We start from the raw sequence: 25,502 nt of genomic DNA, 5'->3' as shown, positions 1-25,502 counted from the left end.
TTTACATAACAATAGTGGCCCTTATCATCAATGATAGATTAGATAGAAAAACTGTTAATTGTGGGGTTGACAAAATAGCCAAATGGTAGAAGGCACTCCTTATAAGTAAGTAAGTTATGAGTGGGAGCTAAGTGATGAGAACACATGGACACATACAGGGGAACAACACACAATGGGGCCTATCAGAGGGTGGAGGTTGGGCGGAGGGAGAGAACCAGAAAAAATAACTAATGGGTACTAGGCTTAATATCTGGGTGACAACATAATCTGTACAACAGGCCCTCATGACACAAGTTTACCTATGTAACAAACTTGCACGTGTACTTAAAATAAAAGTTAAAAAAAATTAAGTGAATGGACACTTAATGTTTACAAAAAAGTTGTCATTTTTATCTTGAATTTCTTTTTTCTGTAGCAATATTTATATCTCATTCAGATCAGCTTATTTGATTAGAAAACCAAGCATTAATAGTAGATCTTATGTCTATTTATTCACATATTCATATACCTTCATTTATAAATATATATTCATATATATTTAGAAGATCAATTGGAAAACATAAGTGCCATTCCCTTATTTAAAACTCTTGTAGCTTCTCCACTACAGTTCTGAGGGTGGTATACAAGATCCTTCTTTTCTCTGGCTTTTGCTTTCTATTTCTACTCCATTACTTCCCATTCCCCTACGTGATAGCTCCGTACTTCTTCTGCTTCCTGTCTTTGCATGTTCCATGTTCCCTCTTGGAATACATTCTCTCTGCCGTCCATCCCCTTATAATGAGGTGCATGAGCTGTTTCTGCTCCCAGCCTTTCTGTCCTGACCTTCTTGTCTATCAAACACAAAAGTGATCAGTTCCTGCTCTGTGCTCCATTATACATTGCACTTTACTAGTTGTTATACCTGACCTGCTCTAAATGTAGTATATATTTGTGTGTCTGCACTCCCCATTCCTACCCCAGTGAAACATAGTAAGCACTGAATAAATGTTTGTCGAATGAGCAAATAAATAAATAAATAAATAAATAAATGTTTGAACATACATGGAAAGGTTGTTTATGTCCTCCTTATAATGTGCTTTGAGATATATATTCTTAATATATATATAATCATATATTCTAAGGTTATTAGTAGGTAAAATGAAAATTTAAAGAAATTGAGTACAAGAAAGGAAAACAAGGAAGAATTTTTTCCTTTTTGTACTATTTCTAAGAACACCAAATTTCTAGTTAAACACACGCACACACAATCGGCATGATGTAGAATTAGAAATATGTTGAATAAATCAATTATTAGAAAATGTAAATATATATTAATTTGCCTCTGACTTGCTACTTTTACCCTCAAGGGTTTTTTTTTTCTACCTCTTTTCATCACTAATCTTTGCTTCACTGCTTGTCAGATCAGCAACTGCCCATTATTAGTAATGCCATTTAATAAGAGATAAATAAAAGTAAAGGTGCTTAGAGTTACTCCATTTCAAAAACCTATCAGGGCTGGATTTCAGAAGAGACCATGAAATTCTCCTACTGTTATTGAACCATTACTCCCTATTACCTAATTAATACAAGTTATTTTCTTAAAATTATACCTGACATTGTAGTGAACTATCAATACTATGAAGAAAATCAAACTCTCCTCGTATCATAAGGATCTTAACACCTGGTACACAATCTTGCATTGGAGGGGACATTAAGAATAAGGCATGGAGGAAAAAAAAACCTTAATGGAAATGTTCTGTTATTAGAAATGAGACTTTTTGGTGGAAATCCCATGACGACTTTCTTGTCTGAATGTTCTTTGAAGTTGAACACTTTCTCCTTACACAAGCCGGCCACTATAATTAGCTATGTTTCCATTTTAGTGGTGGCCTTCTTCACCTTATCTGAAATCATATAAAGATGTGAGGCCATTTGCGAGATAAAAGGTTTGCTCAAACCAGTTCTCTGACCTGGATATCAGAGGTTTGGCAATCATAAACCCACTAAGAGAAACCCTCAGAGCTATTACAAGGCTATGTAAAACTTTATTTCATTTTTTGTGAGAAGGGACAGGATTTTCTCTCATTTATATTCTGGAAGAATATTGTAGAATGTATTTGAGTTCAAGAGGAGGAGAAATAATTAACATAATATTAAGAAACGTCAATTTTGGAAAGAAATAATAAGCATATATGCACATGTGCGTGTATGCACACACACACACAGTATACACAACAGATTCAGAAAGAAGGAAATAGAGATTTGGTGACACATACTTCCTGGATATAATCTCAACTCTGCCATTTGCAAGCCACATGGTCTTGGATAATTGACCTAATCTCTCTCAATTGCAGCATCTGTGAAATTAGATAAAACTTTCTTTGTAGGAGTGTATGTGTGTATGAAAAGCACAGTGTTTGACATATAATAAATGTTTTAGCAACTGTAGCTTGTTAATATTATCACAGCAGTTAATATCACTATAGCAGTTAGTTGCCATTTTCAGCACAGCTAATAATTTTAGTAGCATTTTCTGATCTTTCCATCTCATGTGGTTTCTTTGGAGTTGTTTCTTGCTTTGTTTTTTAGCTTTTCTATGTCACATTTTATTTGCATGGAGAAATAACAAATTTTACAATTTATTTCACATATTCTTTAATTTTTAGGATAATTGTCAGTTTCTTACAGTTTATTTTCCTTATACTCACTGAAGAAAATATGTACGAAAGAATATTTTCAGTGAAGTTAATTGGATTTACTACAGTTGACCCTTCAAGCAATAGTATCTTGCCCTTAATAACTGACCTATCTTTGAACTAATAAATTCAACCTGCAAATAAATGTAGTGAGGTAAATTGTAGAAATTTATCTTCAAAATGGTCTTTCTAAAGTGATCTATCAAAGGTGCATTTAATTAGAGGTCCAGTTCTCCAAAAATGTGCCAAGGAAAAGTAGCCACAAAGAATTTAGAGCTGAAATGAATTCTTTCACCCATTGCTCTGTTTCTATAGAACTGAGAATAAATCTCATATGGGTACTTAAAATCTGTACTATGTCATTGAAGGATGAAAAGATGACAATAGTGATGATAGAAGGACACGGTAATAGGAAACATTTCAATAGAGGGAAATGATGTGAGTATGCAATGTTCATTCACCAGAGGACTAAATCTAGGGCTATTTTGGTGACTTGAACAGGGAATATTCTACTTCCTGCAAGTGAAAAATATGGACATTTCATTTGGCATGCCACCTGCTCTTCAGTCCATCATGTAGCAAGCACCCACTTAGTACTTTGGAGCTCTAAGTAATACTTGGACTACTCAAATGCCAGCCTTGTTGCCATTTCTGTTTATTCGCCAATAACAATTTTATTAATTAAAATTTGTATGTGGATGTCTTAAGGAAATTCCTTGTAGTTGTCAAAGCAGACTCCTGATCCTATCTATCTGCCAGTGCCTTCTGAGTAGTGGTATCTATTCTTCATGATTTTTGGAACTATTTATGGGTGATTGAAGAATATGGAGTGGATAGAGAAGGATGCTAGTCATTTGGCTGCACACAAGAAACACAGATGAAATTTTTGACTATTTCTGTTCATTTTCTAAAGGTACAGAATTTTCACTGGATTGTACTTGTAAGCAATTTTAAAGGAAGAAATATCCAGCCTTTTGAATTTGTTACAGTGTTGCAAGACTTTTTTAAAATGTTAAGAATTTTTATCATATAGGATGAATTAATACTCTCATAATTTTAGGTTTGTTTCTTCCATAATTAATAACTATCCTTAAAGATTGTGTGTGTGTGTGTGTGTGTGTGTGTGTGTGTGTGTATTTCTTGATTTTCCAGAGCAAACGTTCCCATTCATTTGTTTTACTCACCTTGTTATAGTTGCTCCCATTGTAAGATATATCTAGTAAGTTTACTGTTGTTACCTAAATCTGTTTGCTGAATTTTAAAAATGGGAACATGTAGTAAATTTGGGGGACCACGAGCTAGTATTTACAAAGTAAACCGAGAACATTGGATATAAAACCTTATTTCATTTAACCTCCAATGAAGGATATATTCAGTATTATTATTTGTATTATTTCTTGAGCTTCCTTGCTTATCTGTAATATGTAACATGGTGGCACCCCTTTTCATATAATTCTCTCCTCACTTCTATTTTGGGTTTTTACATGTTCTTGTTTCAGTCTCTTCTGCTCTTTCTATCTTTTCTTGGTTCAACTTTCTTCTCTTATCCTGTGGAGGCGAATACCTAATTCTGGCTCTATCCTCTTCAGTCACTCTACAAGTATCACTGGGACAATATTGTCCAACTACTATTTTTACCTCCAAACCTGTATTCTTAGCCTTACCCCTAATCTGCACACTACGCTTCTTTTTGCAATTACTTTCTGTACATTTGCATCAGTGTTAATCACAGGCATCTTGACTCATGTCTCCAACCTGAAAACATTATTCCTTCCATATAGGGACAGGCTCCTCTGTCTTCCCTGTACCCCTAGACAGTTTCTCCCAAGTTATAAAATCTTGGTGATTCTGAAAATTTTCTTTTTCCCCATCAAGTCCTGCCAGTCCTTTATCCACAACATAGGAATAATACTTCCTGAACATCCGTGCTGCTCCTGTTTGTTCAATAAGTACTCGGACCTCTAAAGGCATTTCCTATGTTTCTTCCACCAGCCCCTTATCCTTAAAATCTTGCCTCCAATCTGCCGCTAGAGTTATCATCTTAAAAGAGTCAAATCAGGGTTGGTATCCAAGAAATATTACAAAGTACTAAGCTCTTGGTATATACAATCAACTTGAGAGAAAGAGAGGGACGGGAGGAGAGGGAGAGAGAGAGAGAGAGAGAGAGAGAGAGAGAGAGAGAGAGAGAGAGAGACTTTATTCTGTCCTCTATAACACCTGAATGATTCTGTACATATTTATGTTAACAGAGCATTGTACTACTTCAAATCCTTATACAAGCAAAACTCCTCACCGCCTTTTGGCAATGGAACTTGCTTTTCCCTCTGCCTGAAATAGTCTTCAGTATGTTGACATGACTCATTTCTTCACTTCATTCCATTTCCTGAAGAGAGGAGCAGTCTTCTGTGCTCACATTGCCTAAAATAGAGCCCACTGTCACTCTCTACTTACTCTTTTTAATCTTTCTTCATAGCATACATATACATATATATACACACATATACATATATATACACACATATACATATATATATATATATGTATACACATATACAGGCATACCTCTGAGACACTGAAGGTTCAGTTCCAGACCACCATAATAAAGTGAGTCACATGAACTTTTTGGTTTCCTGGTACATATAGAAGTCAGGTGTACACTACACTGTAATCTATTAAGTATACAATAGTGTATGCCTAAAAACTAATGTACATGCCTTAATTTAAAAATATGTTATTGCAGTGTTCAAGCTGAGAGCCAAATCAAGAATGCAAACTATTTACAATAACCACAAAAAATAAAATATCTAGGAATACATCTAACCAAAGAAGTGAAAGATCTCTACAGGGCTAACTACAAAACACTGCTGAAAGAAACCATAGATAACACAAACAAATGGAGAAACATTCCATGTTAATGGAAAGGAAGAATCAATATCATTAAAATGGACATACTGCTTAAAGCAATCTACAGATTCAATGCTATTCCTATCAAACTAGCAATGTCATTTTTCACAGAATTATAAAAAACTATCCTAAAATTCATATGAATCTAAAAAACAGTCTGAAGAGTAAAAACAATGCTAAGTGAAAAGAATAAAGCATGATATTAACCAACTTCAAACTATACTATAAGGCTACAGTTACCCAAAGAGAATGGGACTTCTACAAAAACAGAAACTTGGACCAGTAGAACAGAATAGAGAACTCAGAAATAAAGCCGCATACCTACAGCCATCTGATCTTTAACAAAGTAAACAAAAAAAAAAAAAATGGGGAAAGGACTCCCTACTCAATAAACGGTGCTGGGATAGCTGGCTAACCGTATCCAGAGGAATGAAACTGGACTCCTACCTTTCACTATATACAAAAATTAACTCAAGATGGATTAAAGATTTAAAAAAATAAAATCTCAGCCAGGTGCGGTGGCTCACGCCTGTAATCCCAGCACTTTGGGAGGCTGAAGCAGGTGGATCACGAGGTCAGGAGATTGACACCATCCTGGCCAACATGGTGAAACCCCGTCTCTACTAAAAATACAAAAAAATTAGCTGGGCATGCTGGCGCATCCCTGTAATCCCAGCTACTTGGGAGGCTGAGGCAGGAGAACCGCTTGAGCCAGGGAGTCGGAGGTTGCAGTGAGCCCAGATTGCACTGCGCCACTGCACTTCAGCCTGACAACAGAGCGAGACTCCGTCCCTAAATAAATACAATACAATACAATAAAATCTCAAACTAGAAGAATCGCAGAAGAAAACCTAGGAAATACTATTCTGGACATCAGCCTTCAGAAAGAATTCATGACTAAGTCCTTAAAAGCAAATGTAACAAAACCAAAAATTAACAAGTGGGATCTAATTAAACTAAAGAGCTTCTACACAGCAAAAGAAACTATCAACAGAGTAAACAGACAACCCACAAGATGAGAGAAAATATACACAAACTATCCATCAGACAAAGATCTAATATCCATAATCTATAGGGAACTTAACAAGCAAAACGCAGATAACCCCATGTAAAAAGTGGGCAAAAGACATGAATATATAGATACTTCTCAAAAGAAGACAAACGGGTGGCTAACAGATATGAAAAAATGCTCCACATCACTCATCATTAGAGAAATGCAAATCAAAACCACAATGAGATACCATCTCACACCAGTCAGAATGCCTATTATCAAAAACTCAAAACACAATAGATGTTGGTGAGGCTGCAGAGAAAAGGGAACATTATACGCTGTTGGTGGGAGTGTACATTAGTTCACCCACTGTGGAAAGCAGTTTGGGGATTTCTCAACTTAAAATGCACTGTCATTCAACCCAGCAATCCCATTACTGAGTATATATCCAAAAGTAAATAAATCATTCTACCAAAAAGACACATGCACTTGTATGTTCACTGCAGCACTATTCACAATAGAAAAGCCAAGGAATCAACCTAGATGACCATCAATGGTGGACTGGATGAAGAAAATGTGGTACACATACAATATGAAATACTACACAACCATTAAAAAGAATGAAATTATGTCCTTTGTAGCAACATGCATGCAACTGGAGGCCATTATCGTAAATGAATTAGTAGGAACAGAAAACCAAATACCACTTTGTTCTCACTTATAAGTGGGCCTAAACATTGGGCACTCATGGACATAAAGATGGCAACAGTACATACTGGAAACTAGTAGGGGAAGAGATAAGGAAGGGGCAAGAGTTGAAAAACTAACTATTAGATACGGTGCGCACTATCTCAGTGACAGGATCCATCATACTCCAAACCTCAGTATCACCCAATAAATATATAAATGTAACAAACCTGCACATGTACCCCTTAAATCTAAAACAATAGTTGAAATTATTTAAAAAAATACTTTGTTGCTAAAGCTTGCTAGCAGTCATCTGAGCCTTCAATGAGTCTTAATCTTTTTGCTGATGGAGGGTCTTGCCTTGACGGAGATAGCTGCTGACCGATCAGAGTAGTAACTGTTGAAAGGTTGGAGTGACTATGCCAATTTCTTAGAATAAAACAACCATGAGGTTTGCTATGTTGGTTGATTTTTTTCACAAAAGATTTTTATGTAGTGTGTGATGTTATTTGATAACATTTTACCCACAGTAGATCTTTCAAAAATGAGGTCAAGGCTCTCATACCCTGCTGCTGCTTTACCAACTAAGTTTACAGAATATTCTAAACCCTTTGTTGTCATTTCAACATTGTTTACAGCGTCTTCACCAGGAGTAGATTCTGTCTCATGAAAACACTTTGTTTTGCTCATCTATAAGTAGCAACTCTTCATCCATTGAAGTTTCATTATGAGATGACGGCCATTCAGTTACACCTTCAGGCTCCACTTTATTCTAGTTCTCTTGCAATTTTCTCCACATCCAGTGACTTCCCCTACTAAAGTCTTGGACCCTCATAGGCATTCATGAGGGTTGGAATAAACTTCTTCCAAACACCTTGTAATGTTGATATTTACCTCTTTCTATGAATCACAAATTTTCTTAATGGCATCTGGAATGGTGAGTCCTTTCCAGAAGATTTTCAGTTTACCCAGATCCATCAGAGGAATCGCTACCTAGGGCAGCTATAGCCTTACAAAATGTACTTTTTAAAGAATAAGACTTGAGAGCTGAAATGACTCCTTTGTCCAAGGACTGCAGAATGGATGTTGTGTTAGCAGGCATAAAAACAAAATCTCTTGGTACATCTTCATCAGACCTCTTGGCTGACCAGGTGCATTATCAACAAGCAGTAATATATTGAAAGAGATTTTTTCTTCTGTGCAATAGGTATGGCCAGTGGGCCTAAAATATTCAGTAAGTAAACCATGCTGTAAAGAGATGTGCTATCATCCAGGCTTTGTTGTTCCCTTTATAGAGCATAGGCAGAGTCTATTAGCATAATCTTAAGGGCCCTAGGATTTTTGGAATAGTAAATGAGCATTGTCTTCAATTGAAAGTCATCAATTGCATTAGCCCCTCAAAAGAGAGTCAGCCTGTCCTTTGAACTTTCGAAGCCAGGCATTGACTTCTCTCTAGCTATGAAAGTCCTAGATGGCATCTTTTTCCAATAGAAGACTGCTTCATCTACACTGAAAATCTGTTGTTTAGTGTAGCTACCTTCATCATCTTAGATATTAGCTTGATCTTCTGGATAGTTTGCTGCAGCTTCTCCATCAGCACTTGTTGCTCCACCTTTCACTTTTATGTTACGGAGAGGGCTTCGTCCTAAAGCCTCATGAACAAACCTCTGCTGGCTTCCAACTTTTCTTCTACAATTTCCTCACCTCTCTCAGCATTCATACAACTGAACAGAATTGGGCCTTGCTCTGGATTAGGCTTTGGCTTAGGAGAATGTTGTGGCTGTTTTGATCTTCTGTCCAGACCACTAAGACATTCTCCATATTAACAATAAGGCTGTTCTGCTTTGTTATCATTTGCATGTTCACTAGACTGGCACTTTTAATTTTCTTCAAGAATTTTTCCTTTGCATTCACAACTTAGCTAACGGGCACAAGAGGCCTAGCTTCCAGCCTCTCTTGGCTTTCGACATGCCTTCCTAACCAAGCTTAATCATTTCTAGCTTTTGATTTAAAGTGAGAGACATGCAACTCTTGTTTTCCCTTGAACATTTAGAGGCCATAGTACGGTTATTAACTGGCATAATTTCAATATTGTTGTGTCTCAGAATAGGGAGGCCCAAGGAGAGGAAGAGAGGTAGGGGGATGACTGGTCAGTGGAGCGTTCAGAATACATACATTAATGGATTAAGTTTGCCATCCTATATGGGCACTGTTTGTGGCACCCTGAAACTATTAAAATAGTAACATCAAAGATTACTGATTACCCATCACCATAACAGTTATAAAAATATTGAAAAAGCTTGAAATATTGTGAGAATTATCAAATTGTGACACAGAGACATGAAGTAAGCACATGGTGTTGGAAATGTTGCTGATAGACTTGCTTGATGCAGGGTTGCTACAAACCTTCAGTTTGTAAAAAAAAAAAAAAAAAAAAAGCAGTATCTGCAGAGCCAATAAGGCAAAACTCAGTAAAATGAGGTATACCTGTACATATACATACATGTGTCTATATATCCACTCACACATATGTGTATGTGTATTATATGTGCATATTATACATATATGTTGATATGTGTATTTATCATATCTAATACACATATATGTATATACATGTATATCACACACATATATTCATATTGTAAATTGAAAATTTTCTAGTGCTGTATCCCAATCTCTAGCTTATAAATATATTGAATAGATGATGCAGCAGGTATCTTTTGAATACGCACTCCAATTTTAGAAATATAAATCTTTTTTAAAGGTTGGAATAATATAAGTAGTTTGGTGTTCAGTGCAAAAGGTTTTAATGTATAAATACTATGAAAACAAAAGTTAGATCAAATGTATCAAATACAAATGATCTGTATTGGGGGACAGAGGGACACATTAAATTTAAGGGAATATGAGGAGAATATTGACTTCCTATGCTCGATGAGTGAAAAAGAAAAGTGAAGTGGGAGTGTTTGAAAGGAAAGATGAGCTTTTCCATGCTAGTACATCACAGGTTTTAATACTCATAGAAGTTTTTAGATTTGTATAGGAAATATGATCCTCCAGCCTTTCCAAGTTTACTCTTCTACTGGAATTACAAATCAAAACTAATAAATGTTTACTATGCTTCAAGTGCAATAGTTATAAAGTACCTGATTAGAGGTCCCACATTCAGATGTTGGTTATATAAAATATTCATGCTAAATCATATAAATGCTAAAACATTTGTATTTGTGATGTTCTCTTGGATTGCTAGATGGAGATTAAATTATACAAATTCAGCTAAGAAGAAAAATGTGGGATAAATGGAATTTTAGTTTAAAGGAAGTCAATGAAAGGATTAATTAAGTATAAAATAATCCCATTTTAATTTGTCATAGAAATGAGTTTTCTGAGACATTGTTGTAATCAATAACGTGAAGATGTAAAATTTTGCAAAAAAAATCATTACGGGAAATCCAAAAGCAGAAGAGTAGACTCTGTATTTAACTCTAGCAGATTATTTAGAAAGAAAATAGTCTATGCCATGAACCTTTCGACTGTCTGCGTGAACAAATGTCTCTAGTAATACACACTCTTAACTCAATTCCCATAGGCTCAAAGTTGCAACAGTATTTATTTGCCCGTTCAACGGTTTTTTGTTTAGCACTTACTATGTGTTAGGCACTTCCAGGGATATGAGTGAACAAGGTAGTTATGGGTCTTACTCTCATAGAGGATAATTCTTTAGGAATGGTCAAAACTATACATATACACATAATGTGATTAATTGTGATGTGTTTTGAAGGAGGAAGCAAAGGAGTTGGAACAGTTTAAATAAGACTGTAGGTTGGCAGTGGGAACAATGGTCTTTGCTATCATTTTTCAAAAATTCCAATGAATGGGAATGACGACTGTTGCATTAAGTTGCCTGTCTCCCTCTGACCCATAGTGATTCTCTATTATCAGAGAGGTAGGGCATGTTTTTCAGCATATGTGATAATATCAAACAGATTCAGATGGTGAAAGTAAAATTTCTTAATGCTTAGAAATAACATAATTTGATCAAATCATTTGGATATGTTATTAAGTTGTTGTAAGATATGAAGACGTAGCTGTTACTACTGCCAATAGTATAAACTTTGGATTCAGACCTAGCTGTGTTTGAATATTAACTCTCCCACATCCCACGAGGTTGTGGGCAAGCTATTCACATCATTGTCACTACCGTCACTACTATCCCACCCACCCTTGCTTCATTTTCTTATCTGTAAAGTGGCAATCTGTTGGAATCAGGGTTGGGGAAGGCAAATAGTAGTCATTATACGAATGGTAACTATGCTATCATCAATAATATAGTCTACAGCTATGATGAAGCTAATCAGAAAACATTGTCTATTACCAGTAATTAGCTATATCAATAACTATCACAAGAAAAGTCCCAGCTGTCAGTGAATAAATAGAAAATAGTGCTTTGTCTTAGAGAAACACATACAAAATGAATGGTGGTGACAGTGCTTTAAGTTAACTTGTCAGTTTATATGTGTAATGCATATATAATTTCAAATGTATAATTTAGACATTGTACATGTATATTTGGCCTGGTAATTTATGGTATACATAAATGATAAATGTATAGGTTGAAAATTCAGTTACTTTTTTTCCTTTTCTTAAATCATTTTTACCTTGCTGAAGATATGCTCTTTTCTCTACTTCCTTAGAATAATATATTTTATTTTCTCTTAAAGTATTTTGAGACCATATCACCATTTACTACACCAAAATGTTTTTTTGCAAATGCGGTATTCAAGGGTGAATTTATAGTGGCTGGGGACCTATTTGGAATTCAGTAAGTAAAACTAGATTTTCCTTATTCCTCATCTGAGATCAGAGCTATTTCTACCTCTAGCAAAGACATACAGTCATTCCGGGTGCTGCATTTTCAGGGAACAATGTGTTTTCTTGGCAAGGGGCAGTAAGACCATCAATTAATAGTTCTTCATGTAAAGTAGCTAAACTACTGTTATAAAGGAAGTGAAATTTGCATACATAACCATTAACACATGAGGTTAGTTATGTACAATTTTGACCAAAGTGCCTGTTTGCTGCTGGTATTTATTATAATAAGAACTGGAAAAAAATAGTCTATCTCAAGAGCATGTGCTGAGCACCCGTAAATTGCAAGAGACTGTACTGGGCAGTATGAGATTATAGTAATTTGGGATTTCCTACTAATGAACTGAGAGGGAACAGGTACAAACACAGTATACGAAGGAAACAGTGGCACGGAGACACTTAAACACAGCAGTGCTGGGAGGCTCCGGGGTAGGGGAGGGAGGAAGAGAGATACGGGTTAATCAGGAGCTGCTCTCTGGGGAAGATTGCCCAGGCCCTGACTGATGCCTGACATTGATTAATTGATACTCTATCCTAGTGTTTAACAAGTGTTCCATCCAAAAAGTCTTCTGTAATATTTAACTTCACTTCCTTCAGCTTCAATTTCTGCACAATTCTTTTGTCGTCTCATCAAGAGAGCTAGTCAGCAGACAGTAACAAAATGCTTATATTCATATACCTGAAGGATTTTTTTTTGTCATGCTTCAGCCTTCTCCAGACTGAAGAAAAGCAAATAATAAACAAAATTAATCGTTCTTCAGAAGGCCTGTTTGACTCATTAATAAATAATAAGCTTTGATACTGTGCTTTAAGTGTTTACCCTTTGGAAAGAAAATAATTTTGACAGTGATGTAGAAATAATTATTTGATATTTATTTCAAAACAAAATTTATATCCAATACTAAACACAGAATTTTGTAAAACAATAAGTGTATAAAGTAAAATGAACATTAGGATTATTGAGATTATTGTAGCTAAAACTAGTGTTTATTCATATAAATTATGTTAATAAATTGTATTGTCATTATTGCATTTTACTTTTTTGAAAAGTAGTTAATGCCTGTGTTTCTATATGAGTATTATATAATTCAAGAAGATATTGGATGAATTTTTTTTAAGTTTAATGTGTTTCACATCTCTGTTTCTTTTCTCTGCACCAAAAGCTACATTTTTGTGCCCTTATGTACCAGGCAGAAATTGATCTGCAATACATGTGGAGTCTCCAAGGGTATATTTAAATTTAGTAATTTTATTGCTAACTGTGAAGTTAATCTGCACTATATGGGTTCTTTTCCCCAGGAAACTGAAATAGCAGTTCAAGCTAAACAACCGGATGTGGAAGAGATTTTGTCTAAAGGGCAGCATTTGTACAAGGAAAAACCAGCCACTCAGCCAGTGAAGGTAATGAAGCAACCTCTAGCAATATCCATTACCTCATAATGGGTTATGCTTCCCCTGTTGTACATTTGCCATTGACGTGGACTATTTATAATCAGTGAAATAACTTGTAAGGAAATACTGGCCATACTGTAATAGCAGAGGCAAAGCTGTCTTTTTGATCAGCATATCCTATTTATATATTGTGATCTTAAGGCTATTAACGAGTCATTGCTTTAAAGGACTCATTTCTGTCCTGGTGTGCTGCCATCAATACAAAAGTAGTCCCACCTTCAAGGTAGATTAAATTCTTTGGGGCTTTATTGCTTTGCTTGCCAGCCTTGATGCTTTTCATATTGTTTGGTTTAATTCAAATCAAGCTACTGCATCATAGTGTCTGTCTCCAACAGCTGTAAAGAATCACAATATGGTCCGTGACCTTTCTTTTCTTTGTTGCTCTTTCTTATAAAAGAGTAAAATCGGCATTGAGGCTTCAGTATTTTATTGGGTCAAGAATTTTTAGTGAAATGTCATGTAATTGCTTATTTCTTTGGCAAAAAGCTGGCCTGGGATAAACCTTTCTACTTTTTTTTCTTCTCCATATCCATGTTGAAGTCTAGGTCACATTTATTCACAGGCTATTACATAAGGAGGGAGATGGAAAGCCAGGTCAGTTTTCAAAAAATAGCTAATCAATGGCTTCCATTTGCAAATGAGAGTCCAGTGCTAAATATACGTTAGCAGTAGGTTACCTGATTCTCTGTACCTGACCAGAATTATAATGGCTCCCATTATGATGAAGGTTCCTGAGATCCTGTAATCATGGCTGTTTATTGATCAGTCTTGGTTTCTCAGTTAATGTTGCAGGCTTGGATACAATGAACCTCGTCCTCATGTTTAAAACTGCTTGAAAACAGTTCAGGTCAATAACCTCATTATACAGAACCAGTTTGTCCTTGCAAACAACATTACCATGACTTAGATTCTGTCTCTAAGGTCGCTGCTTAGTTTCCCTTGCGCTTGGCCCAAGCTTCATTTCTAGAAGATTGTTTGTTTTCCTTACAGCTTACAAGAGACTTTTCCTTAGGTAGAGTTGAAGTTTGCACCTGAGCTTAATGTCCAAACACCAGACACTGAAAATCACAGGTTTCTCTGTAGATATCAACATACTTTTATTCAGAAATATATTGCAACCACTCCAAAAATCTAGAAAAGTAGTTTGTATCCAGTTCAAGCCCAGTATAATCATTTTTCATAAGCTAACAATGTGCTCAGTATTTAGTTGGAAGAGCTAGGCAAAGTCCTGAAAGCAGCAAATTTCAGAGTTTCCGTTGATGTTCTGAAGAAAGCCAGCCCTCAGAGCAGTTAATATGGTGACTTTCATTGTAGCAAGCCATGCAGTGCACAAATGGACAATTGCATACGTTTCTATCTACTCTTTGTTGATCCTCAAAGACTTTATGCCTTATGGTGTATGACTATGAATTAAGGTTTGTCACTAATTGTTAGAGATCACAAAGGTACATGTAATTTGGCTTTTACTTTTGTGCCTTTGTAAAAGAGAGAGAGAGAGATCTTAATTAAAAGCCACTGAGAAAATTTTTGCTTTCATTATGTATAAAACAATCCAAATGCTTGATGCTAACTTATCGCACCTCCACCCACACACTCAACTACTGGGCCACTTGGAGATCAGAACTGGGATCTGCCATGCCTGAGCATATCTGCTTCCTGCTGATGCATTAGTGATGTAAAAGGAGAATTACTTTTCTGAAATAAAAAGAAAGAACCAGGAGCTGTTGCTTTCCTTCTCTTTCACAACCCTTAAAACCATTTTTGTAGCAGACAGCACTGTTTTTTTCCTTCCTTTTTTTTTTTCTCCTTCCCTGTTTCCCTATTTTCTCTCAATTTGACACATTGGGAGAAGCTGAACTTAAGGGAAAATTTATTCCTGTCTTCCCATTTCTCCCTTGGATTTGGAGAAAAATCAACATATCAAGTTGGCTGGGCATGGTGGCTCATGCCTATAATCCCAGCACTTTGCGAGGCCGAGGCAGGCGGATCACCTGAGGTCAGGAGTTCGAGACCTGCCTGGCCAACATGGTGAAACCCTGTCTCTACTAAAAATATGAAAATGAGCCAGCTGTGGTGGCAGGCGCCTGTAATCCCAGCTACTTGGGAGGCTGAGGCAGGAGAATCACTTGAACCCGAGAGGCAGAAGTTGCAGTGAGCCGAGATCGCGCTGTTGCACTCCAGCCTGGGCGACACGAGCGAAACTCCGTCTCAAAATATATATATATCAAGTTGATAGGGGCAAAAATGCAAGAATGATTTGAGAATTATGGGGTTTAAAAAAATAGTTGACTCACGCACAACTTTTGCTGTGGACCATGACCTTGGAAACATCTGAAGATTAGCTGGGGTTTGCGGTAGCCTGAAACACCTAGAGGCTCAAAAAATGACCTCACAGTTTTGAACATGACACCCAGCAATACAAGGCAGAAAGCTGTGAGGGCTGTTTAAATCTCTGCATGGATCAAAAATTTATTTTTAAAGGTTAGAGATGATTTTTCTGAAGGACACTCCATTGCTCTGATAGAACGTGAACAAAGCCTTTTTAAACTTTGAGTCCATATATCAAAATTTAAAATTTGTCCTATTTATAATGCCTCTTCTTCACTCTGGGTCTTGTTACCTCTTAATAGAAGAGGAAATGAGTCTGAGTAGCCTGCAGCACATTTTCATGAGAGAATTGTGTTTCTGTTTTTGTTTTTTGGGGGAGGTGCATTTGGAAACTGTAATAATTATGAAGAAAATGATATTCTTTAAAAAGAAAATGAAAATCTCTCACGATGTATATGCAAGATCTAGTATTTAAATGCATAATTAGTGTGTCCACCGCTTACAAACATTCTAATTAAAGACACATCAGGGAGCAATTCTGTTTCTTAGGAAATTGACTTGTCTATTGGCACCTCCGCATTCTGCATCAGACAGCCTGTCTGTCCAGCTCCTACGCTCACCTCCCAAGCTGAGTTCTGATTGGAAGCTGGGTTCATCCCTGCTCAGTTTCTTTCCTCTTTCTTCTTTCCTTCACTTCGTCAACTTCTTTAAGATTTCTTTTATTTTCAAAGATGGTATATTTCTGGTTTCTTTTTTAAAATCTCTGACTAACCAACTTCTTTATTTTCTTTGAGGACTTCCTGTAAAAGGTCAAATACATATTATGAAATGATAATACTAATGACGTATAGGTAGTACTAATCTCTGCTGCAAAATAACTGGAAAAATCTTAGGATCGTATGATCAAATACCTCTCCATCTTTGTTTAGCACTTCAACTCTCTTTCTCTCTCTCTGTCTCTCTCTCTCTCTCTCTCTCTTTCCCTCCCTCCCTCTCCACTCTCTCCCTCTCTCCCTCTCTCCCTCTCTCCCTCTCTCCCTCTCTCCCTCTCTCTCTCTCTCTCTCCCCCTTCCTCCCCCATCTACACACATACTTTTATTTATTTGTATGTTATTTCTTCATCTTAACTTCAGAAATTACTGAAGACTGACTATATGAGTTATATAAATTGTTTAAAATTTTGCTAAAGTTATAGTTTTGGTATAATATATTACATTAATGCCATAGATGAAATAGTCTTTAATGTGTTCCATTTTTCCACACAGTAATAACTAGGTCCTCAATAGCACCCCATTTAGCAGTTTAAAAGCAGCAAAAACAACTGCTATCAGTAACAACAATATAAACTACAAAAGAAGCCATTTGTTATTTGATTTTTATTATAAAATTGTATTTTTAACTGTCTTGAGCTTAAGCATTTAGGTGCCATTTTCTTGTATTCATACTCATTTTTAACTTAAGTTGGAAAACTACACTTTCAGTTAACTTTTAAAAATATGTTTATGTACTTTCAATGCTTACATCACCTGCCATGTATTAGAACTGAGAGCATTAATGGAATTTTAAATGTCTTGGTTACTTTCTAAAGTGATAAAATGAAGCCAGCTGGTTTGCTTTGCTAACTTTTTATATTATCAAAAAATGTTACTTACACAAACCTAGTAATATGTTTTACTTACTGCTCTTGAATTATTTTTCAATGTAACAGAAAAAGGTGTGAGGAACTTTCTGTATTTGGCCAAAGCGTTCCATCCCAACCTTTAACACAAAATAATTGCTGTAGACAAATGGTCAAGAGGGCAATTATAATCTTCCAGGCATCATTTCCTCAGATATGAACTGCAAAATGACAGCATCATTAGTCATTTTCAATTACAGTCAGTCACAACCAGGGATGATTCATTTTCCCAGCTGTTTTGTTGTTAATTAACTAGATGAAGCTGTTTTTTTTTCTCCCAATGAGTTTGTTCTACTGCCAACATCAACATCTTAACATTTTTAAAAACTTCCTTAGGGTTTATTTTTTGCCTAACAATCTTTAATATATTACTCACAAAAGATGTGCATCTCAAGATTTATCCACGGTATAGCAGGTCAAATGGTATTTCATTGGTCGAAATGTTGCCGAAATAAATATAATTACACTTAAAACAATACTTGGATTTCATAAATCATCTGCCATGCGTACAATCTCATTTACCTGGTGTAACTTCACTTGTAGCAACAGAAATCAATAGAGAGATAACAGACAAAAATTGTCCCCTGAAATGAACAAGTCTATTTTGACTGACTCATTTATTGAGCACAATTTCCATGCCAATAACACCAGAATAAGTTGGGAGAGGACTTCTAGAAAGAAGATAACAATATTAGAGGCATTTAATAATTTATAAGTAAATGCATAGCAACATTTTATTTTTTTAAATTACAAGTTTGCGACTGGGCGCGGTGGCTCGCGCCTGTAATACCAGCACTTTGGGAGGCCAAGGTGGGCGGATCACAAAGTCAGGAGATCGAGACCATCCTGGCTAACATGGTGAAACCCCATCTCTACTAAAAATACAAAAACAAAATTAGCCGGGCTTGGTGGCAGGCATCTGTAGTCCCAGCTACTCGGGAGGCTGAGGCAGGAGAATGGCATGAACCCGGGAGGCAGAGCTTGCAGTGAGCTGAGATCACGCCACTGCACTCCAGCCTGGGTGACAGAGTGAGACTCCATCTCATAAATAAATAAATAAATACAAGTTTGCTTTACAACTGAAAAAAAAGTCTTGGAGTATAAGAGGTTGAATAAATGCTAATCCCAATGCATAAACTTGAGGAGAGCTTCACTTTCCCAATGAGAAGAGAAAAAATTTATAATAGATTTTTGGGCAACTTGTAAACATAAACATTTAGAAATATGGATGAGATTGTCAAATGTCTAATTATATTCAATTTCTTAATTGAGTAGCATTTCCATATTTGCAGTCTTACATTTTATAAAATAACACACTCATTTAGAAATACCTGGCACATTTATATTTTATGAAACAATTTCATTCAAACCCTTCGTATGTATATTCTAGAATTGTAGAGCTCATCACCTTGCTAAGTTATTTGTAATATGGCATTGTTTGAATCCCTACATAATACTCTGAAAGCCCTCTGGCCAAGATTACAAGCAACATATCTGTAATCAAAAAATTAAGAATATTTACCTTATTGCAGCAAGAGCGTAAAACACTTCAGAGTGTGGGCATCTCAGTAAGAGGGCATTGGAAAAAGCTTCTTACAGAGTTCAGCTGGCTGCATGATTCTAAGGAGGAATTCAGAAAGTAGAAGCCATTTCTGGATTAGATGCTTTCAAGAAACAGAGTCAATGTAGTGATTAGGTATCTTAGTGTTTATCTAGAAGATGAGATTAAAGTAGGGCTAGACACGTCGTTGGTAAAGGAGCAGCAATGCCTCATATTAGTCATTTCTGTGATAGCAGAAAGGCCTTGTCTCTGTCTTGTTTCAAACACGGCCATGGGGTGGCCTTGTGTCTGCCTAGTTTATTTCTATGAGTGTTTTTTAACATCCAGCTGGGACCATCATGGCCTAGCTAGCTGCCAGCTGCCAGCTATCAGCAGAGCTATTTTTCACGTTCTCAATGCTGTCGCTGAAATTTTTATCCCAAACTTCAATACCCATTCACAAAATATTAGGAAAACTGTTTTTTTCATTTTTCTTAGATATGATTTTGGTTGTTTGTTTGTTTTTGAGACGGAGTTTCGCTCTTGTTGCCCAGGCTGGAGTGCGGTGGCGCGATCTCGGCTCACCGCAACCTACACCTCCCAGGTTCAAGCGATTCTCCTGCCTCAGCCTTCCAAGTAGCTGGGATTACAGGCGCCCACCACCATGCCCAGCTAATTTTGTATTTTTAGTAGAGATGGGGTTTCTCCACGTTGGTCAAGCTGGTCTCGAACTCCCGACCTCAGGTGATCAGGCTGCCTCGGCCTCCCAAAGTCCTGGGATTACAGGCGTGAGCCACTGCACCCAGCCAGATGTGATCTTTTAAAAATTCCCAATAGACTAACATATTCTTTCTGCTTTTTAAGTTGTTTGGCTTTTTAACAAATTCTTTGAAAGACTCGTTTACAATGATCTCTGCCACGAGTGATTGTGAAGCTATACATTAGGAATGATTGCTAAAGATTTATCAACTTTCTTTGCCTCCCTTTTTAATTAAGCAAATTCTGTCAGAATACTTATGTAAGCATCACATCTCTTGAGGTTATTTCAGGCTAATATACAACATTGTGGTTCCGAATAAAATAATTGAGACATAAGAGATAGTATAAAGTCTTGAATATGAGCCAACTTTCTTTTCTGAGAGAATATTTGAGTGAAAAGTCTCATGTACTCAGTAGCTCATGCTGAAATTAGGGAAGCATTTTAGAGATTTGAATTTCACCTCTTGTCCTCAGTTGTATTAGTTACACTTAAAGAGAGAGACAAAGAGACATAGATGTTTCAGTTACAATATTCGAATGTATGCCTGTATATATACAGCCGTAGGTAGAGTCCTTTATTTATTCAGTAGATATTAATTGCATGCCAACCATTGACACAAGATATATTTTTAAATTTTGAAAATCTCAAACTCAAATAGAGTTTAAAACTATATTCTAGTTTACTTTTTTAAACAAATGATTTTTTATGATTGTATTAAACAAATACATTATTTTTCCTTACTTATTCTACATCAAATAATATCTATTTCTAGAAGGCTTTTTTCCTTGTCTTAATGATAGAAAACATAAAAATCATTTAATATTTTTTAAATATCCAAAAAATATGAGGCAAGAAAGCAGCCACAATTGTAGCTACCTTAGGAAACTTAATTAAAAAATTTTTTTTTATTTTTAATTTTATATGTGTATAATTGTACATATTTATTTGTGCGGTACAAGTTATATTTTGCTTATTTTTTATAATTTCAGTAGTTTTGGGGGTATAGGTGGTTTTTGGTTACATGGATGAGTTCTATAGTGGCGAATTCTGAAATTTTTTATGTATCCATTTCCTGAGTACTATATACTGTACCCAATAAATAGTCTTTTATCCCTTACCTCACTCCCAAGCTCCCCACTTAGAGTCCCCAAAGTCCATTGTATCACTCCGTATGTCTTTGTATCCTCATAGCTTAGCTCCCACTTACGAGTGAGAACATATGGTATTTAGTTTTCCGTTCCTGAGTTACTTTACTTGGAATAGTGGCTGCCAGCTCCATTCAAGTTGCTGCAAAAGAGATTCTTTTTTATGGCTGAGTAATATTCCATGGTATATAGATACCACATTTTCTTTATCCATTCATTGGTCGATGGACACTTGGGTTGGTTCCATATCTTGCAATTGCAAATTGTGCTGCTATTTTTGTGCTGCTGCTTTCTTTTTTGTTATTTCCTTTTCTGGTTTTGGTATTAGGGTGATACTGACTTCATAGAATGATTTAGGGAGGATTCCCTCTTTATCTTTTGAAATAGTTTCATTATAATTGGTACCAATTCTTCTTTGAATGTCTGGTAGAATTCAGCTGTGAATCCATCTGGTCCTGGACTTTTTTTTGGCAATTTTTAAATTACTGATATTCAACCTTGCTGCTCGTTACTGGTATGTTCAGGGTTTCTTTCTTTTTTTTTTTTTTTTTTGAGATGGAGTTTTGCTCTTTCACCTAGGCTTTAGTGCTGTGGCATGATCTTGGCTCACTGCAACCTCCACCTTCCAGTTTCAAGTAATTCTCCTGCCTCAGCCTCCCAAGTAGCTGAGATTACAGGTGCCCACCACCACGCCCAGCTAATTTTTGTATTTTTAGTAGAGTCGGAGTTTCACTGTGTTGGCCAGGCAGGTCTCGAACTCCTGACCTAGTGATCCACCTGCCTCAGCCTCCCAAAGTGCTAAAATCACAGACGTGAGCCACCGCGCCCAGCCAAAGCGTTCAGGGTTTCTATTTCTTCTTGATTTAAACTAGGAGGGTTGTGTGTTTCCAGGAATGTATCCATTTCCTCTAGATTTTCTAGTTTGTGTGCATAAAGGTGTTCATAGTAGTAGTGAATGATCTTTTGTATTTTTGTGATGTAGGTTGTAGTGTTTCCAGTTTCATTTCTACTTGAGCTTATTTGAATCTTCTCTCTTCTTTCCTTGGTTAATCTTGCTAATGGTCTATCAATTTTGTTTATCTTTTCAAAGAACTATTTGTTTCATTTATATTTTGTATTTTTTTGTTTCAACTTCATTTAGTTCTGCTTTGATCTTTGTTATTTCTTTTCTTCTGCTGGATTTGAGTTTAGTTTGTTCTTGTTTCTCTAGTTCCTTGAAATGTGACATTAGGTTGTCAATTTGTGCTCTTTCAGAATTTTTGATGTAGTATTTAACACTATGAACTTTCCTCTTAGCACTGTTTTTGCTGTATCTCAGAGGTTTTGATAAATTGTGTCACTATTAATCATTTCAAAAAATATTTTAATTTCCATCTCAATTTCATTGTTAACCCCAAAATCATTCAAGAGCAGATTTCTTAATTTCCATGTGTTTGTATAGTTTTGAGGGTTCCTTTTGGAGTTGATTTTTAGTTTTATTCCACTGTGGTCTGAGAAGATACTTGATATGATTTTGATTTTCCTAAATTTATTAAGACTTTGTGGTCTCTTGTATGACCTGTCTTGGAGAATGGTCCATCTGCTGATAAGAATGTATATTCTATAATTGTTAGGAAGAATGTTCTGTAAATATCTGTTAAGTCCATTTGTTCTAGGGTGTAATTTAAGTCCATTGTTTCTTTGTTAAGTTTTTGTTTCAGTGACCTGTCTAGTGCTGTAAATGGAGTATTGAAGTCCCCCACTATTATTGCATTGCTGTCTATCTCATTTCTTAGGTCTAGTACTATTGTTTTATAAAGCTAGGAGCACCAGTGTTAGGTGCATATAAATTGAGTACTGTAGTAAATATCTTCTTGTTGGACTAATCCTTTTATCATTATACAATGTCTTTCTTTATCTTTTATTTACGGTTATTGCTTTAAAGCCCATTTTGTCTGATATAAGAATAGCTACTCCTGCTTGCTTTTGGTTCCCATTTGCATGGAGTATCTTTTTCCGTCCTTTTACCACAAGTGATATTTTGATACAAGCATATAATATATAATGATCAAATCAGAGTGATTGCAGTATCTATCACCTTAAATATTTATCCATTTTAAATTTTAAAAGGAAAGCTATATTCAGAAATCACTTTTTCTTGTAACTAATTCCTGTTCTTCATAAAGCAGAAATTTCATAGTTTGATATAGTTGTCTTAACATTTAATGAATATTTTCAAGCAAAGTATATACAATGGAGAATAATGCTCAGCTGCAAAAGTCACCTATAATAAATCTGATTTTTCCATTTACAAACAAAAGAATTCCCAAAGTTTATCCATTTTGGTAGAACACGAATTCACTCTGTTGAGTTTGGAGCTCTTGTGCGGAAAACCTTGGACCTGCAATTTAGTTAGCATATTCAAAGTTTTAAAATTATGGAGATGTAGTCAAGAATAGGACTTGATAACTATTATCCCACTGATACGCTATTTAAATAAGTTGGGATTTAAGTACTTATTTGATTTCCTTAAATTTGCTTATAGATGATTAACATGTATTGCAAATTGTTACCTTTTACAGATTTCTATTGAGCACTGCTTAAATTTTATTATATGATGAACACCTGACTAGTTGCTACAGCCAAACATTTTTTGTTATGCAAATGAATTTTACAGCTTAATTGGAATGATGAGAGAATTGAAAATATGGGCAAATGCCAGAGAAGTGAAAAGCAAAATGAAGCAAAACAAAAAAGAACTTGTATAATATATAAATAATCCATTTCAACTCTACAGTACACCAAACTCTTGAAAAAGTAGCAAGATTGTTTTTGTGAACAGCCAAATCAAAAACTGTAGTCATTTCATAAGTATTTGCTAATAATTATAAAAGATTGGAAATTATACAGTTCTGAGCTTATTGAACCTTTGACCCATTGCAGTGTCCTCAGACATTTGTGATACATTGGTAGTGCCATTTAATTTTAAAAATCCACCTCTACATTAGAGATTATAGTAACCCCTCATTTACCTATCTGGAAATAAGAGTGGGAAAGATAATATTAGAGTAAATGGACAGACTATTTAGAGTTTATGTATTAATAAAAGAGAAATTGCATGTACAAACATGTTATTTTCTAGGTAACTAAAACCTAGTCCTTTAATAAAGCACTGAAAAAAATTTTATCGTAACTATTTTAATGAGAACTTTTCTTGAATATCTTCTGTTTTGCTTCATTGAGCAGCGCATAATATCTAACCAACAAATTTATAGTGCTTTGTAGTTCACAGCATTTTTACCATATAAAATATCTCGTTTAGTTTCTCCAACAAAGCTATGAGTTAGGTGGTATTATTATATCCATGTTTCAAGGATGATAAATCTTAGTGACCCATCTCATTTTCCAAGGATCACACAACCAGTAGTAGTGAATTAGGAACGAAACCTAAGACTTCTGATTCTAAATCACAATGTAAATTAACTTTTCTTAATTTTCAGGGGTGTCGTTATCACATCAATTTTTGCTCTGTTTAGTGATACAGTGTTATATGAGGAACATGAAATTCAAAGCACCCTTTCTTCAGTTGAGACCCAGTTGAAGTGGTTAATTTGCTTTTAGAAGCTAGACTGTAAGATAAATACATACCTTTAAGTATTAAAGCTAACTCAAATCACTGAGATACTTACACCATGAGAAGAGAGTGGAACCTAAGTCAACTGGTAGAAACATAGAAACAGCAAACTTTGATCTCTCTTTATCCTCATTCTGAGGGGCAATATGCTTACTGAGTGGAAAGATGGGCATACCCCCAGCAGTATTTAAATCAATCCCTAATCTATCACTATCTCTCCTTTTCTCTCTATCTCAGCACATATAGGTGATTTCCTATAAATTAAATGGTGTAGGATGAGATTTCATCCCATGTTGAAAGGTCATTTCATTGATAAATGACTAAGATTACCACATTTCTCAGTTTTAAGTTTTTCATGTTCATTGTCTCCTATTGCTACTTTCTGTTATCAGAATGATTACTTCTCATTGCTTTTAGTATTCTGTCTTTGTAGGGTTACAGAAACTTCACAGGGAAACCAGAAGATCAAATATATTACTCACTAGTCTCTTAGAATATTTAATTTTTAGTGTTTAGGTTCTGATGTCAGGACAGGAAAATATCTTCCGTGAGTGATGACTTCCAAGGGTGGTTTTCCTGACTAATCAGAGGCATTATTTTTTGTTTGCTTTTGGGTTCAAGACTGATTTTTAATAAATAAAAAAGTTACATTTATTGATATGCTAGTAAATATTTACATCATGCATTCTGGATAAAAACATTGAAAGCCTTGATTTGACTTGATGTCAGACACAATAGACATAGTCTCAAGAGCACTGATGATAGTTAAATTAGGAAGTGATGAATTCTTACTATATATTATCTTTTGTTCTTAGCACAGTTTATTTTATATTTATAAAATTTAATTTATATTAATGGTT

General features: G+C 35.5%; 1 protein-coding gene across 20 annotated transcripts in view, besides 1 other annotated feature; it reads left to right on the top strand.

Annotated features, from left to right (window-relative positions):
* Positions 1–25,502, top strand: part of DMD (dystrophin) — a 2,220,167-nt gene that overhangs the window by 1,489,144 nt on the left and 705,521 nt on the right. For all 20 annotated transcript variants that reach the window (XM_006724469.4, NM_000109.4, XM_011545467.2 and 17 more), the window contains 1 exon segment: positions 13,426–13,527. In XM_006724469.4, coding sequence (XP_006724532.1) covers positions 13,426–13,527 — 102 coding nt within the window.
* Positions 4,966–5,166: a silencer, noted in NCBI's record as "peak7373 fragment used in MPRA reporter construct". NCBI's record gives its function as "represses an SCP1 promoter by STARR-seq MPRAs in K562 erythroleukemia cells {active_cell/tissue: K562}" and the evidence as "EXISTENCE:reporter gene assay evidence [ECO:0000049][PMID:32103011]".

This window comes from Homo sapiens, chromosome X, assembly GCF_000001405.40.
Source record: "Homo sapiens chromosome X, GRCh38.p14 Primary Assembly".
NCBI classification, from domain to species: Eukaryota; Metazoa; Chordata; class Mammalia; order Primates; family Hominidae; genus Homo; species Homo sapiens.
The sequence above is the reverse complement of the archived record's forward strand: the minus strand, read 5'-3'. Positions and strand labels throughout refer to the sequence as shown.